Genomic DNA, 15,001 nt, shown 5'->3' on the forward strand with positions numbered 1-15,001 from the left:
TCTTCCAATGGCTTTCCATTTATCTCAGAGAAAAATTCCAATTCTCACAGTGCCTATAAGGCACAATAATTTGCTATCTGATCTCTCTTTCTGGTCACATTTCCTACCACTCTTGCCTCCCTCTTTCCTTCCCTGTTTCCCTACCTTTGTCCTTCCCTCTCCTTAGCCACACTGGCCTCCTCCTGATTCCTCAAACACCAACAGACAGCCCTTCCTCAGGGCCTTGACAATGGCTGTACTATCTGCTTGGAATGGTCTTTCTCACTGATGTCTACCTGGCTTGCTTCCCTACCTCTTTCAAGTCTTTGATCAAATATCTCCTTAATGAGGTCTACCCTGACCAGCCTACTTAAATTGCAGTCTGTGCTCAGCTTTGCTTATTTTTCCTAAAACTTACCACCTTCTAAAACACTAAAATGCATATTTGTTATTATTTACTCTATCTTCCCTACCACTAGAATGTGAGTTTCCTTGGGAATAAAGTCTCTAGATTTCAGTCTATATTTTCACTAATGTGACCCCAGAACCTAGAAAAATACTTAGCATGTGGTAGTTTCTCAGTATATTATTTGATGAACAAAAGAATGATTTTTGCTTTTGACATCATTTGCTTAGTAATAAAAATATTGAGTCTGTTAATGCCAAAGTAGTCAGTCAGAAGTAGTGGCCAGGAGGACTACACCAAAGACACCTGATTTCTCTATGGAATATTAACTTCCACAGAAATTTAATGAAATTAATTAATATTAATATTAAGATATTAATAATATTAATACAATAATATTGTTATTATTTATAATCTTATTACTAATATAACACAAAATTTTCTTTCTTCTATCTTTCATTAAGCATTATAAACTTCCCAACTGATATTTTTTAATAAAGGAGTAGAGAGGTGAGACAAGATATATTACAATTTTAAAGTATACTTAAAGCTAGAATTTTCTTGAAAAATATTATCTGTTTTGTTTTAACTATCTGAACAAATATTAATATGGAAGGACTGCTGTGACACTGAATAAAAACTTGTTCTCCAGGATCTGTTATTAATAGTGACTATTGGCTGGTTGCGGTGGCTCACGCCTGTAATCCCAGCACTTTGGGAGACCGAGGCGGGCAGATCACGAGGTCAAGAGACCGAGACCATCCTGGCTAACACGGTGAAACCCCGTCTCTACTAAAAAATACAAAAAGTTAGCCGGGAGTGGTGGCGGGCCCCTGTAGTACCAGCTATTCTGGAGGCTGAGGCAGGAGAATGGTGTGAACCCGGGAGGCGGAGCTTGCAGTGAGCTGAGATCGCGCCACTGCACTCCAGCCTGGGCGACAGAGCGAGACTCCATCTCAAAAAAAAAAAAAAAAAAAAAAAAAAAAATTGTGACTGTTAGTTTGGCATTCAATGCTTATGTGAATGTGAATATCAAATAACATTTAATCTTTATGATGCATGCTGGGGTATTGAGGAATCGTAAATGGTAATATGCATTTTACCTCTGAGTTCTAAGCCAACTAAGAGATAGACTCCAAATATGAACAGATAGAGATTAAAATGTATGCTTTATTGTTGGTTAAAAAATGTATGGGCAAATATGGCTTCACATGTGGCAAAAATCAAGGGTCTTCTACTTGAAACCCTACACCCACCTACAGTCTAGACCTTGGGACCACCCACTGAAGAAAGAGCCAGGGTCTACTGAGCAGATATTTTTACCAGGCTGACTAAAATGGAAAACACTGCAGAGTCCTGACAGTGAGGAACAAGAGGGATGGATCTGCAGATCAGCCTCTGGAAGGCAGGTCTGGACCTAAAATAGTGTGTTCATCACGTGGGGGCAAGAGGAAAGCAAAACACATTCATACTGGAGCAGGCAGATTTGAGAGAGATAAGAAGGAAAGACCAAGTTACACATGCCTGGGTCCTTCTCCCATGCTTACAGATCAAATAAAGGACTCCTCCTCCCTTGGGTAGAAGTTTGTGAGAAAAATAAATTAGGAAGCCCCCTTCTCAGTAATCTGGGATCATTGGAAAATTGTTCTGCTGACAGTGAAAGATAACAGAAAAAAAGACAACCATGTATACTCAATTTCAGGTCTCTTTCATCCCAGAGGACACTAAACTGGCTATAGGATCTGCTTGAAGATCTTTAAGTCCAAATAAATAATATACTTTCTATCACTCCCACTTATAGATTCATATATACGCAGTACTCCTTCAGATTTGAAGTAGCATATGTTTTCATCACCATCTCTACCAGCAAACCAATCCTCCTGAACCATCTTTTAGCTTTTCCTGCTTGCTTCAAGAAACCTTACATTCTGAGAGTTTCAGATGAAATATCACAACATTTGTTGTCATTGTAAAAGATCATTTAATATTCCGTGGGCACATGCCATATGTTTTGAAGGAAGATGATAAGTACTGTTTTGTCACTTTTTCTTGGCAAAATGCAAAATGGAGTGAAAACAAAGACACTTTCCATACATAAAGCTTTAAGAAAATATTGGGAAAAAATTGCAAACCGAGTTACAATGTGCCATTTCTGAATTTTATTGGTTACAAAAGAAGTTCACAGTTATCCTCCTACCATTTTACAATAGATAGTTGTTCCCACAGAGCCTTGGCCAACACAGTGCTATGTCATAGAAATCTGCATGGTCTGTTCACTGAATGAATAAGGATCTGTTTTCCCAAAGTATGATGAATTCAGCATGCAGTGAATTTCTTAAATAAAAGCAAGTACCCCCCTAGACTTACACTAGGGACTAAATTATGACAATGTGACACATAGGTAAGTGCTCTGCGATGGGATTAGGGTTCACACCATCAAATTAAATGCTTTAAAATAGCACAGTTAATATCCGGGGGAATAATAAAGAGAAACACCAAGTAATATATAATCACAGTATCATACTAGATAGGAAATCAATGGGAAAAAACTAGGTAACACTCTACAGTAGACTGTTTACATTATGGCAATAAATACATGAAACTATAAAGTGTATACAGACATTAAAATTGAAATGTTCTAGTCACTTATTACAAAAAAAAAACCTTTTATAGCTAGAATTAAAGAAACAAAACATTTTAGAAATACGCTATGCTATATATCATAAGTACTCTAAGTAACACTACAACTAAACAGATCTTCAATATTAGGGCAATAAATGCAAGTCATTCAAAGGAGAATCACAGTACAACTCTTAAAGGCTTAAGACCAATTTTGACTCAGGTAGGTTATTAATTTCTAAAAAAGTCAGTTGGCTACAAATTGCATTCTTAAATAAATAATGTTAAGCATTCAATTCTGAGTGGATGTAACCTTCATCTTTGGAGTGCAACAACTTCAAGTAGCAGCAACACCCAAAAGGAATATTTTAGGTCTCTGTGATTGATGGTGAATCATGGTTTTTTTTCACAAAGTGGCTAACTGCATGACTTCACATAAATGAAATCTTTTGCCTTAATATTTATTTATTTTGTTTTATTTTATTTTTTTGACCAAGTCTCACTGTGTTGCCAAGGCTGGAGTGCAGTGGCGCGATCTCTGTTCACTGAAACCTCCACCTCTGGGGTTCAAGCAATTCTCCTGCCTCAGCTACCCAGAGTAGCTGGGATTCCAGGTGTGTGCCACCATACCCAGCTAATTTTTGTATTTTTAGTACAGACGGTGTTTCTCCATGTTGGCCAGGCTGGTCTCGAACTTCTGACCTCAAGTGATCCACCCACCTTGGCCTCCCAGAATGCTGGGATTACAGGCATGAGCCACTGCACCCGGCCTGCCTTGGCTTTTGTAGCTATAAAATGGGCTTAGATTTGACAAAACTTCCATCTCAGTATGAAATTGTCCTTAACTCATAAAAGCTAATCCTTAAATGGGAATATTATTGGAGAGACATGTATAGATGAAAGATTATTCTGAAACAAGAGCCCGAGAATAGAATGCTAGGTAGGCATATGGTCCCTACTTTACTAAGCCCAGGATATGCCCTGAAGTGCCACACATTCTTCTCTGGGTAAAGCCTACATGGCAAGCCTTGAAGGGCATCATGTTTGTTATGCCAAGTGAGCTAGGATCCCCAACCCTGTAGCTCCTTGATGCGTATTCCGTCTCTCTTGGAAGTAAAATTATGAAAATGTGATGGCAAGGGGGGAGAAAAACAATAAAAAATGTATTTAAACAATACAAAAATTATCACTTGCTTTATTTTTTCCAAATATCAAACTAATCAAACTAAAATAGGGAAATACTAAAAGATACCCAGACATTGAAATTTTAATTTTATTTCCAGTGATTTGGGAACCTTAGTAAAGGGCCTGGAATAGGCAGCCTAGCTAAATAGAATTTTTCATGTTGCCATGTGTGTTCAACTGGCTGTCCTGGCCAGAGCTGACTTCTTACACGTTGCTTTGCCAGACGTAACAGAGACAGGCACAATCACTGTGATTAGCATTATGTGAGGAATAAACAGTCTGTGGCTGAAGCAGCACGCTCTAAATAGCTTTCTAACCTAGGTATGACCAAGACATGTAATACATCGAGTAATTTGCCCAATTACATATGTAGTAATTTTCGTTGATACTCATCATGCCTTTTGCAGTTTCATTACATGTATGTCTAAATAATATTGAATGTAATTTTTTAGCAGTATTGGTTGGAGCATATTGTGTCTGGTGTAATGCATCTCAGCAAATTTTTTATAATAATTTGGATAGCTGTGGCTATTGTTTCTCTCCCCCATTAAACGTGGGGAATCAGAAAAAAATATATATATATTGGATACCTATAAGATACAGACAATGTATTCTGCTGTAGATATTAAAGTGAAATCATATTATTAATGCTATACTTTATAAAATATATGGATTGTCCTATAAATAAACATATACAGAACATTTGAGTCTCAATTCAAGTCATTCATTTGAAAAAATGTATCAAATCCAAACACATTTTTATGTTCTCAAATTTGCATACGTTTTTCAGTTCTTTGGGCAATGTTTTATAATCCATGTTGTTAAAGAGCTCCTTATCAACCATCAGCTGATTGAAAAAATGTTTATAATAGAAGGACCTAAAAAGACACTCCACGAAATCCACCTGTCTGCTAGTTCCATAGATGGATTTTCATCTAGTTAGCATTAAATGCATGCCACCCAATTACACCCACATTCTTATTCTTAGCATTTGCAAAGACTGAATACTGATCAAAGTAGCTATACTGCTGATAATAGATCCTGTTTGGAGTTTTGACTTCAAGAAAAGTTATTGACTTATTTTTTTCAATTAATAAAGTGGATTTTATGAAAATAAGTGGACTTAGAGTGAACATATTGGATAGAAAACATATTGGGCAATATAAACTAAGTTAGCAAGTCTTTTGTAAATTTATAGAAGTAATTGGTTCACATATTAAATTAATCTTTAATATTTTGGTATAGAGTTAGCGAACAAGTCAAAATTAAAAGGACGAATCTGAAATTACTGGGCATTCTTTTCTGAAGTATGACTTATTTCCAATATCTTAGGGAAAAAATAGACTAAAAATAAATATTTAACTCACAAAGAGGTTTTTGGGGGGTAGTTGACTGGCAAACTTGGAGAATCCACTCAGGATTATGCAATTTCCCTCATCTGGGATCCTTCCAGTGATGTCCAAATATATACTGTTTAAATTAAAATTATAATTTTATGAAAATTTAGCCAAAGTTTTGAGCATATCTCAAACTTTGAAATACCACGACTGCCACCTCTACCATTATCTATCAAGGCTTAAACCTGTAGGTTGGGATGGACAAGCTAATGCCATTAGTCTGGGGTTTTGGTAATTCAATTGGGAGCCTAAATATATAACATGATTATTTTATTAAGTATCATATTGCTTCCTATAAGCAGGTTAAATATGTTTACCTCTTACCTTTTAAAGATATTATTAATCCAGATGATATGTAATAACTAGTTGACCTAAATTGCTGTTGCTACCTAGTAATCCAGTTTCCCATCCAGAAGCAGCTCCTACACTGGCAAAAATGGTTCAATCCAGGTGAAAGTGCCTTGAGATCTTCAGGGAGTAGATGCCACATAAGTTTAAAATATTCGTGTTATCTTTTAAAACGCAATTCTTATTAGCTAGGTAAAAGCTCCTATAGAGAAAAATGGCTGAGAAAGCAGGATGTTGCTGCTACAGCATAAATCCAGGAGTCAAGAAAGTTGGCACAGGCTCCAGAGGTTCCTCCAATGAACTGGATTATCTTAAGTAGAATTATGTCACTTCTCTCAGTGTCAGTTTCTCCTTTTGTTAAAAATTGGGAGAGTTGGATGAGGACAGGGGTCAGTAGGCTTTTTTGTAAAGGGCTAAACTAAATAATTGAGGCTTTGTAGATCAAATATATGATTTCAGTTGCATATCCTTATTTGCTTTAGTGTAAAAATTATACTTTTTTATTTTTTTTTAGATAGAGTCTCGCTCTGTCGCGCAGGCAGGAGCGCAATGGCGCGATCTCGGCTCACTGCAAGCTCCACCTCCCGGGTTCACACCATTCTCCTGCCTCAGCCTCCGGAGTAACTGGGACTACAGGCGCCCGCCACCACACCCGGCTAATTTTTTTGTATTTTTAGCAGAGACGGGGTTTCACCGTGTTAGCCAAGATGGTCTAGATCTCCTGCCCTCCTGATCCACCCGCCTCGGTCTCCCAAAGTGCTGGGATTACAGGCGTGAGCCACTGCGCCCTGCCTTAAAAATTATTCTTAGCTCACGCCGAACAAAAATAGGTGGTTGGCTAGTTCTGGATTAAGGCCATTGTCTGTTGATCCCTGGATTAGAAGACAATGAATATTTCTCATTGTAACAAAATTTCATGATGCTATGATTAACCATGAATTTAAATCACTCACTTGCAGAATATGCCCAAATCATTGATACCAGTGAATCTTGGTAATAAAAAAGACAGAATGCCAACACCATCTCAAAATTGTTTCAAACTCTTGAATTACTGTAAAACTTTCAATTAACCAAACATTTGTCAATCCTTACATTTCAGATAATTGTACACCTACATAGAGAAAGTGTTATTTATTCCACATGAATGATTTCTTATCCTGAGGGATACATATTATGTGTACAGAAACAATATAACAAGATGAAACTTATACATATATCAAATACAGCTTGCAAGACCAACTCCCTGGTGTATCAAAAACAGTACATTACATCACCATTAGCAGCATCCAAAAGTCAAAGGCAAATGCCTAGTATAGTTTCTGATCTTTTGTAGCAATGTGGGTGGATACACGCCTGATCACAAATAGCTCTACTGATCCTTTGAAGGAAAGATATATAAAAATATTTTATGCTTTTTCTAATTTTTTAAAGAAATGAATGGAAAAAACTACGATTTTTTGAACAACTGTATGTTAATCCCTTTAAATATATTAATAGTAATAATAACAAATATTCATAAGGGCTTTCTATGAGCCAGGTATTTTTAAATCTACTTTATATGTATAAACTCATTGAAATCTAAAAACCACCATAAGAATTAAGTAATATTATCAATCCTGTGAGGTGGATATTAATATTACTGATATTGTGACAACTGAAGAAATAAAGAACTAGCGAACGTGATGGGTATAGAGCTGGAAACAGAGTCAGCTACCTCAAATCTCTTTCTGTTGTCTTTCCTGTATTATTTTTTAATGAGGTAGAAATGATACACATACCTGCATATATCATCTCTCAGGCACAGACTAGCATTAAAATTGGAGTCCATCTAAGCCCAAATCCAAGGTGTTGACTATCCCCATAATGCCAAGGACAGGATAATGGTCACAGCCCTAGTATTACTTAGAAACAGCCTCTTCTGTCACAAGGCTCCCCACGATTCCCAGGATAGTATCATATTCTCAATTAGGAATAAAATACAGCCTATTATGAATCATATGCCTCTGGACCTGTCAAGAACCTAGTGTGGAATTTTAACCAATAGGAAGGATAATAATGCTTTCAGAACTTGAAGTCATATGTGAGATTAGAGCTGTTTCAAAATGCACACACTACTTTAAAATGTCTTGGTGGATTGGAAAAGCTAATATGACAGCTCTAATTGTGCCTAATTTGAACACAAGAAGTAGCTTAGGTCCTTGCAGTATCTTATTTCTAGAGCTCAGATACTGAGGACTGAGAGCAATATCTCACTGCTAATATTTAACTTAAACACTTTAGGGACCAAGCTTAATTTTAGGAATCTAACTTAAGACTTAATTTCCCTTGAGCATAGAAAATAAAACTGATAACAGCGACCACAGATATGGTGGAAAGAAGATAAGCTTTGGACCCAGTCAGACTGGGGGTTGAATCCAAACTCCATCAAATACTATCTGTGTGCTTAGACATAGCAGTTAAGTGTTCTGACTTTCAGCTTCCTCTCTTTAAAGAGGACACAAATTACACCTTCCTTGTAGGCTCTGTCTAGGACTGCAGGTAATATAGGCAGAGTGCCTGGTACATAATAGATGTTCATAAGGTGTAGCTCTTATTCTTAGATATACATGGGTTTGACATGTCATGAAAAAGACTTTAATGTTTGTGTACAGCAACCAATCCTCCCTATATTACTTACCTGAATTGTTACAACCACATAATTATTTACAAATGCTTATTCAGTTTCCCAAATATATGTCATGGCAGAGTGTACCTTTAGATCAGAAATATTTATTATTGTAAAGAAGAAATCCAGGAGTTGTTCTTTCTTATCTAAAAGTGTACCCTCCACATACTCTGGCACCCAAGATCCCTCTCCAGACAAACAGAATCAAATGGGGACATGTAGAAGTGATTATTTCAACCTACTGCAGAAAATATTTGTCTGGAGACTAAACTATTTCAGAATGACTAAAACTAGTGGGAAAATCATCTACAAGAAAAGTGTAATGATAGAAAGTAACTGCTTCTGTAAATTGAGCTATGGTATGGAAGAACTATAATTAAATAGGTGTTACAAACATAAACTCCATACCATAGACTTCTCATGGACTTTGGTACAAGGAAAATTGGTTGCTCTTAACAGGCTGTTTTGCCACCTGACTTTATTGTTTACCTTGCCGTGTTAACTGCTGGAAACTCAAAACTAAATTGTATGTTCAATCTGAGTACAGTTTTAACTAAGACATTTTTATACAGCTCTCCCTTTTCCTGTTTAATTTTTTCTCTGAAATATTTTAAACAATAAAAAATTTGCAAGTACAATACAAAAAAAAAAAACACATATTTTCCTCTGAGCCATTTGAAAGTAAGTTTACCAACAAGATTCCCCATCACCTCTGAATATTTTAGTGTGTAATTCCTGCAGAGACATTCTCCTACATAACCTCAATAAAAACATCAAAATCAGGAAATTACATTGATACATTATCATCATAAAATCCACAGATTTCACTGAAGTTTCACCAGTTGTTCCCATAATGTCATTAGTGACAAACGGATGTCCCAAATTATGCATTACATTAGTTGTTGTATCTCTTTAGTCTCCTTCAGTCTCAAACAGTTCATTTCTTCCTTGACTTGTATGACCTTGACTGTTTTGAATAATAAAGGCCAGTTTCTATAATGTCCCCCTATCTGGGTTTATCTGATATTTCTTTACGATTAGGTTGAGGTGGGTTTTTAAAATTATTTTTGGCAGAAAAGTTACATAAGGTATGCTATATTCTTCTTTTCATTCTTATCAGATGACACATGATTTTGAGTTGTTCTTTTGCTTATGATGTCACCTTTGATAATTTGATGATGGTAGAGTTAGCTAGGGTTTCTCTACTATAAAGTTCCTCCTTTTCTCTTTGTAATTAGTAAGTATTTAGGGGTAGATACTCTGAGACTAGGTAGATTCCAATACTTACCAAACTTTTACCCACTGGTCGTGTTTGGCATCTTTTAATGTCTGACAAATGGTGATTTTCTAATCAATGACTCCCCTCTGTGTGTATTAGTATCCTAATTCAATCACACCTTGTAAATTCATTAGTTAATAAAAGCTTTCTTTTTCACCGTTTATTCATTTATATCTTTATATGAATATTTGTTATTTTGAGGCTCAAATTATCCCAGATTGTGGCAGGGAGAGCCCCTTCAAGCTGGCATCTGTGCTGAACACTACCTTAGTTTCTGGTGCAAGATAGTCCAGGGTTATGTTTTACCTCCCCAGACCTAACCATAAAACCTATTGTTTTTCCAAGGGGATCTGAATCCTTTTAGGGGAGAATTGTATTTAAGAAACCAGGATCTGGGCACTTCATGTTTTCTTTGTTATTGAAGTGTCATTGCTCCTAGACCCATATATATATATATAGTGTGTGTGTGTGTGTGTGTGTGTGTATCCAATTCAACATCACAAAGTTTATTCTTGTTTTTCCCTTTCCATATATTTGACACTATTCTCCAATAATGAGGAATCTAATTTCTGTTATCATTGTTATACTAACATATTATCCTTATTATATTTATTACTTTAATCTCTGCTGTGCCTAAACATCTCACACCACGGTTCCCACACCTCACTCTGGGCCATTGCCATCATCCACCCTCAGGGACATCTTTTGTCAGTGTACACAGACTCTGACAACTCAGGTCAATCTGCTTCTGCTGTTGCCCTCCCAGCTTCTAACACCCTCATGAATCCCCACCTTGGTCAACCCCACATAATAACTTTTGGACTAAATTATTCAGGCAGAAAGAAAGGCAGGAAAGCAGGCAAGCAGTAAGAAAAATTCTCCTCCCCCTTTTACTTGGATTTTATTGTGGGTTTTTGTACTTACCTTAATAGTTTTATTATATATGGCTCTCTCATAAATTGCCTTATATGCAATTTGAAGGGAATAAACAACATAAAATGATGCAAACAAAAGTTTCAGTTGGAAGAATTCCAGAACGGTTCTGAACAGTATGAAAGTAGTGTTCATCAAATCTGCATTTTAAGACCTCTCAGAACATGAAAGTCTATTTTCAGTAACATGCTTCACTCCACAAAAGCCAAGGCAGATAAAAGGAATGGCCCCAGGAACACAAGTGGCGCTTTTGATTCCACATACCTTCTTCCTAGTGCGGATGGTGTGTACTACTTGTGTGATCTTCAGCATTTTACTTAATGTTTATATGAGCTGATTTCATCAGCCATAAAAGGAAAAGGCTTGCTCCCTTGCCAACCTCACAGGAATGTCATTTTGATTTTTATAAAGCACAGACTATTTTTGAATTTCTTAACAATAGTCAGTATATTCTGAGCTTAAGACCAAGAGAAAATATATCATCACAAATTCATGGAGCAGAGCCCCCTGTGGATTTAGGATTAAAGGAAGGAACAATTTCTCAGTCTCCATAACATGATGGTGCAGCCCTATACGACCCACTCTTGGGATCTAAACGGAAGGCTGTCAGGCCTTGAGTGGGCATGGAGCCAGCAGCTGATGACCTCTGGTAAGAGACAGAGCACCACTGTTCAGAGAAGCAGCTGTATCACGTGATTGAACAGGGCCTTGGACATGCCCAACCAGAGTCCTGTCTGCCAGATGTAGATAGCAAGGTAGGAATCAGCAGTCCTGCCTCTGCCTCCCTAGTCTGCAATTTACTACGTAACCAGGGGTAATTAATTCATTCTAGCTTTCTCGTGCCAGTTATAGGATCTAATGAGTAAAAAGTTCTGATTCATGTTGGCTCTTAAGAAATACCAGTAGTTCCGAAAATGTTTTTAAACATATGAGGATGTTTATTGCAGCATTATTTGTGATGTCAAAAACAAAACAGAAAACATGAAACTGGAAGCAAAGTAAATTTCCATCAGTTGGACAATAGCTGAACAAAGTCTAGTACACCCACATCACTGAATACCAGGCAAATAAAAAATAATCACAGCAAATTAAATAAAGAAGTAGGAATTGGAATTTAGTCATTTTCTATTAAGCCAGACATTAAAGAGATTTACAAAAAAAAAATAAAACAATGTCACTCTTTATATTGAGTTTTATTTTTGAACATATATTTTTCACTGAATATATTAATTGTGTTAACATGTATGGTTTATTACTGTTATTTGTAATGAATTAATATGTAAACGTTTTGATAACTTCTCATCAAATTAGGATCCTAAGTAAACTACAAATTTAATTGGAAAAATTAGATAACTTAATAAAAATATTGGCTAATAACCTGAACACAGACGTCACAGAAAGAAACTCCGAATGACTACTAATTACATAAAAAGATTTCTTAATCTAACTTTTGAAGTAACATAAATCAATTGTTTCACCACTAGCTATAAAGATTTTTATAAGGATTTCTAGTTACTAGAAAATTATTCTACAGTAAAACTAAACCTAATTCAAATAACAGACAAAAAGAAAGCTTTTTTTTTTCAGTTATTTAAACCAGAAAGTTATTCTAGTCACAGTACCATTGAGTGGTATAGCTGAAATTTAAATACATCATTGATGTTAAATAGCCATTATCAGATGAGGTGTCCTGATGGTCATGAGAATATATTACTTACACCCACCCATGGAAAATGGTTTCTAATACTTGGCCAGTCCACCTTCAAGATTGCTGTGAAGATCAAAGAAAGACTTATGTGTAAAAGGGATTTGATAACTATGTAAATATGAGAAATCATCATTTGTTTTAGAATTGCTTTTACCCAAAGAATCTGAGGCATTGGTTAAGCATCTTGGGCTCACAATGTGCTACAGAATAAATGTACTATAGATAAACTGGGGCAGAGAGAGAGAGGAACACTGAGCTCTCGACTAGCTATGTAGTAAGTCAGGCCCTGCAGGGCGGGAAAGAAATGATTGTCTGATCAGAGGCTGCACAATGATATTCATAACTATTCAAAAGTATATATAGCACATCCTCAGAGAAACATAATAGTGCAATATTAAATTCACAGCACAAAATTATAGGGAAGAAGAAATTTCAGGCAGAAAATAAATGATAACTGCATTGGGGCACTTTTGACCGTAACTTTGGAAGACAGAGGGTTAAAATGCCTTCGATGTCACTTGTGCCCATATATCCTGACTGTCTAATTCATGGTTTTCAGAACCACAACTTGCAAACCCCCAAGTACCTGGGGACATTCTCTGCCATTAATTTGGGAGCAGCACTCCCTTTGCAATAAGTAGACAGTGTAGGGAAAGAATTAATGGCAGGGTATGGCCTTTACTCAGTAGAACACAGACAATAGTGGCTTGTGGTGTAAAAAGGAGACAATTAATTGCAGCAGTGGTGTCTGTGCCAATTCCCAAGTTCTAACCACAGAAATACTTGAGAGAGTCATCAGAAACAGCAAAGGGAAAGGCACTTAAAACTCCTTCCTAACTAAAGCATATCCAATTATCTGTGGACCAAAATGCCTTTGTAGCTGAGTATATGGATATCCAGACACCTCAAACAGTACAGGGTAACATTTTTCTCCCATATAAAACCAGGGATTTAACATAATATTCAATGTCTTGGGTTTTCCCTTCTAGAAATTCTTACACAGGAGAGCACCTGTGCATTTAATAACTGGAAGATATTATACTGCATTGCAAACAAAATTTTACTATTCTCAAAGATATATTTCAGGAGAATCTACTTAAATATTTTTTCCATTTGTTTATGCAATAAGAACTTCTATTGTGTGTGCCTGCTTTCGTAAAAGAAAAATCACCTAATCCAATCTCCTATAATTACTCCTTATCGTGTACTGTATCATTGACTTTCCCTGGAAGCTACACCTAAGGTATGACTAAGTAAGAGATACTAGCTTGAGAGATCTGAATCAGGAAATACTAGGACAAATTGAGATGGACTCTCTCTTTGTGTCTCTGCCTCACTTCTATTCAAACAAGAAATAGGATGCCTCCAATTCCACTGATTACCAGTTTCGGTATCAACTTATCAAGACAATGATAGGCCCTTTACAAATGTCCCCCTCATGTTATTTTCCCAACAGAAGCAGAAGCTGACCTATAGTTCTTGGAGCTATTGTAAAAGAGCACATTGTATTTGTCTACTAACTCTTTTAGCCTTGCTAGCCGGCTGCTTAATTTAATGTAATTGAGCCTTTATCCAAAGAACTCTGATAGAATGTTTAAAAATGGGCTTTCCTCTGTTTCCTCAGAATTTGGATTCATTTACATTCAACTTACTGAGTGCCTCATGTCACTCAGTGTCAAGATTAGACTTCCTCAAGAAACTCAAGGCAAGCACAGTGGAAAGCAGAACAGATGTGTCTGGTTATCTCTGCATGTGATTCCAGGCAATGGGCCCTTCCTGCTTTTTGGGAGAGAAGGTTACCTCCTTGCAAATGTGTACTCACTGTCACAGCTGATAATTGAAAGGTGAGGTTTCCAAAATGTCATTATTATTTTTATTGCTAGACATGTTGGCTCTGTCTCAGGTTCCTCAGATAAGCTGCATTCTCTCATCTAAAATTCCACAACAGGCTTCGTTGCAATGTCATATTACAGAGAGAGGTGGGGCAAATGCACTAAAGGGAGATGTGACACAGACAAGAAAAGTATGGTTCTCAAAATGGTGGGAGAAGACATGCAGTGGGTGGGAAAACACTCAATTTGCAATCAGGTAATTTGGATTTAAATCCAGGCTCCATTACTTTATTAGCTCCTGTCTCTAGCTTCAATTTTGTCCTTAAAATGTGAATGATTAAACCTAGCTATCAGGTTTATTGGACTTTACTGAGAGAAAATAGGTATAAATATTTTGTAAATCGTTAAGCAACACACAAATATGATGTTTCCATTTGTTATGGGTTTGTCTGTGCTATTAAAAATAAGAAATTAAGGTCATGAAGTCGTAAAATGTCAAGACTAGAATATTCCTTGTTGATTGTCTTATTTTAATCTAATTACCTCTTTTTATAAAAGGGACAAAGTTCTGTATTTTTTAACAATCATTTATTGAACTTCTCTATGAGCCAGAATCAGTGCTGAAAGTAGGGAAACAAAGTTGATTAACA

Source organism: Homo sapiens, chromosome 6 (assembly GCF_000001405.40).
Source record: "Homo sapiens chromosome 6, GRCh38.p14 Primary Assembly".
In the NCBI taxonomy this organism is placed as follows: Eukaryota; Metazoa; Chordata; class Mammalia; order Primates; family Hominidae; genus Homo; species Homo sapiens.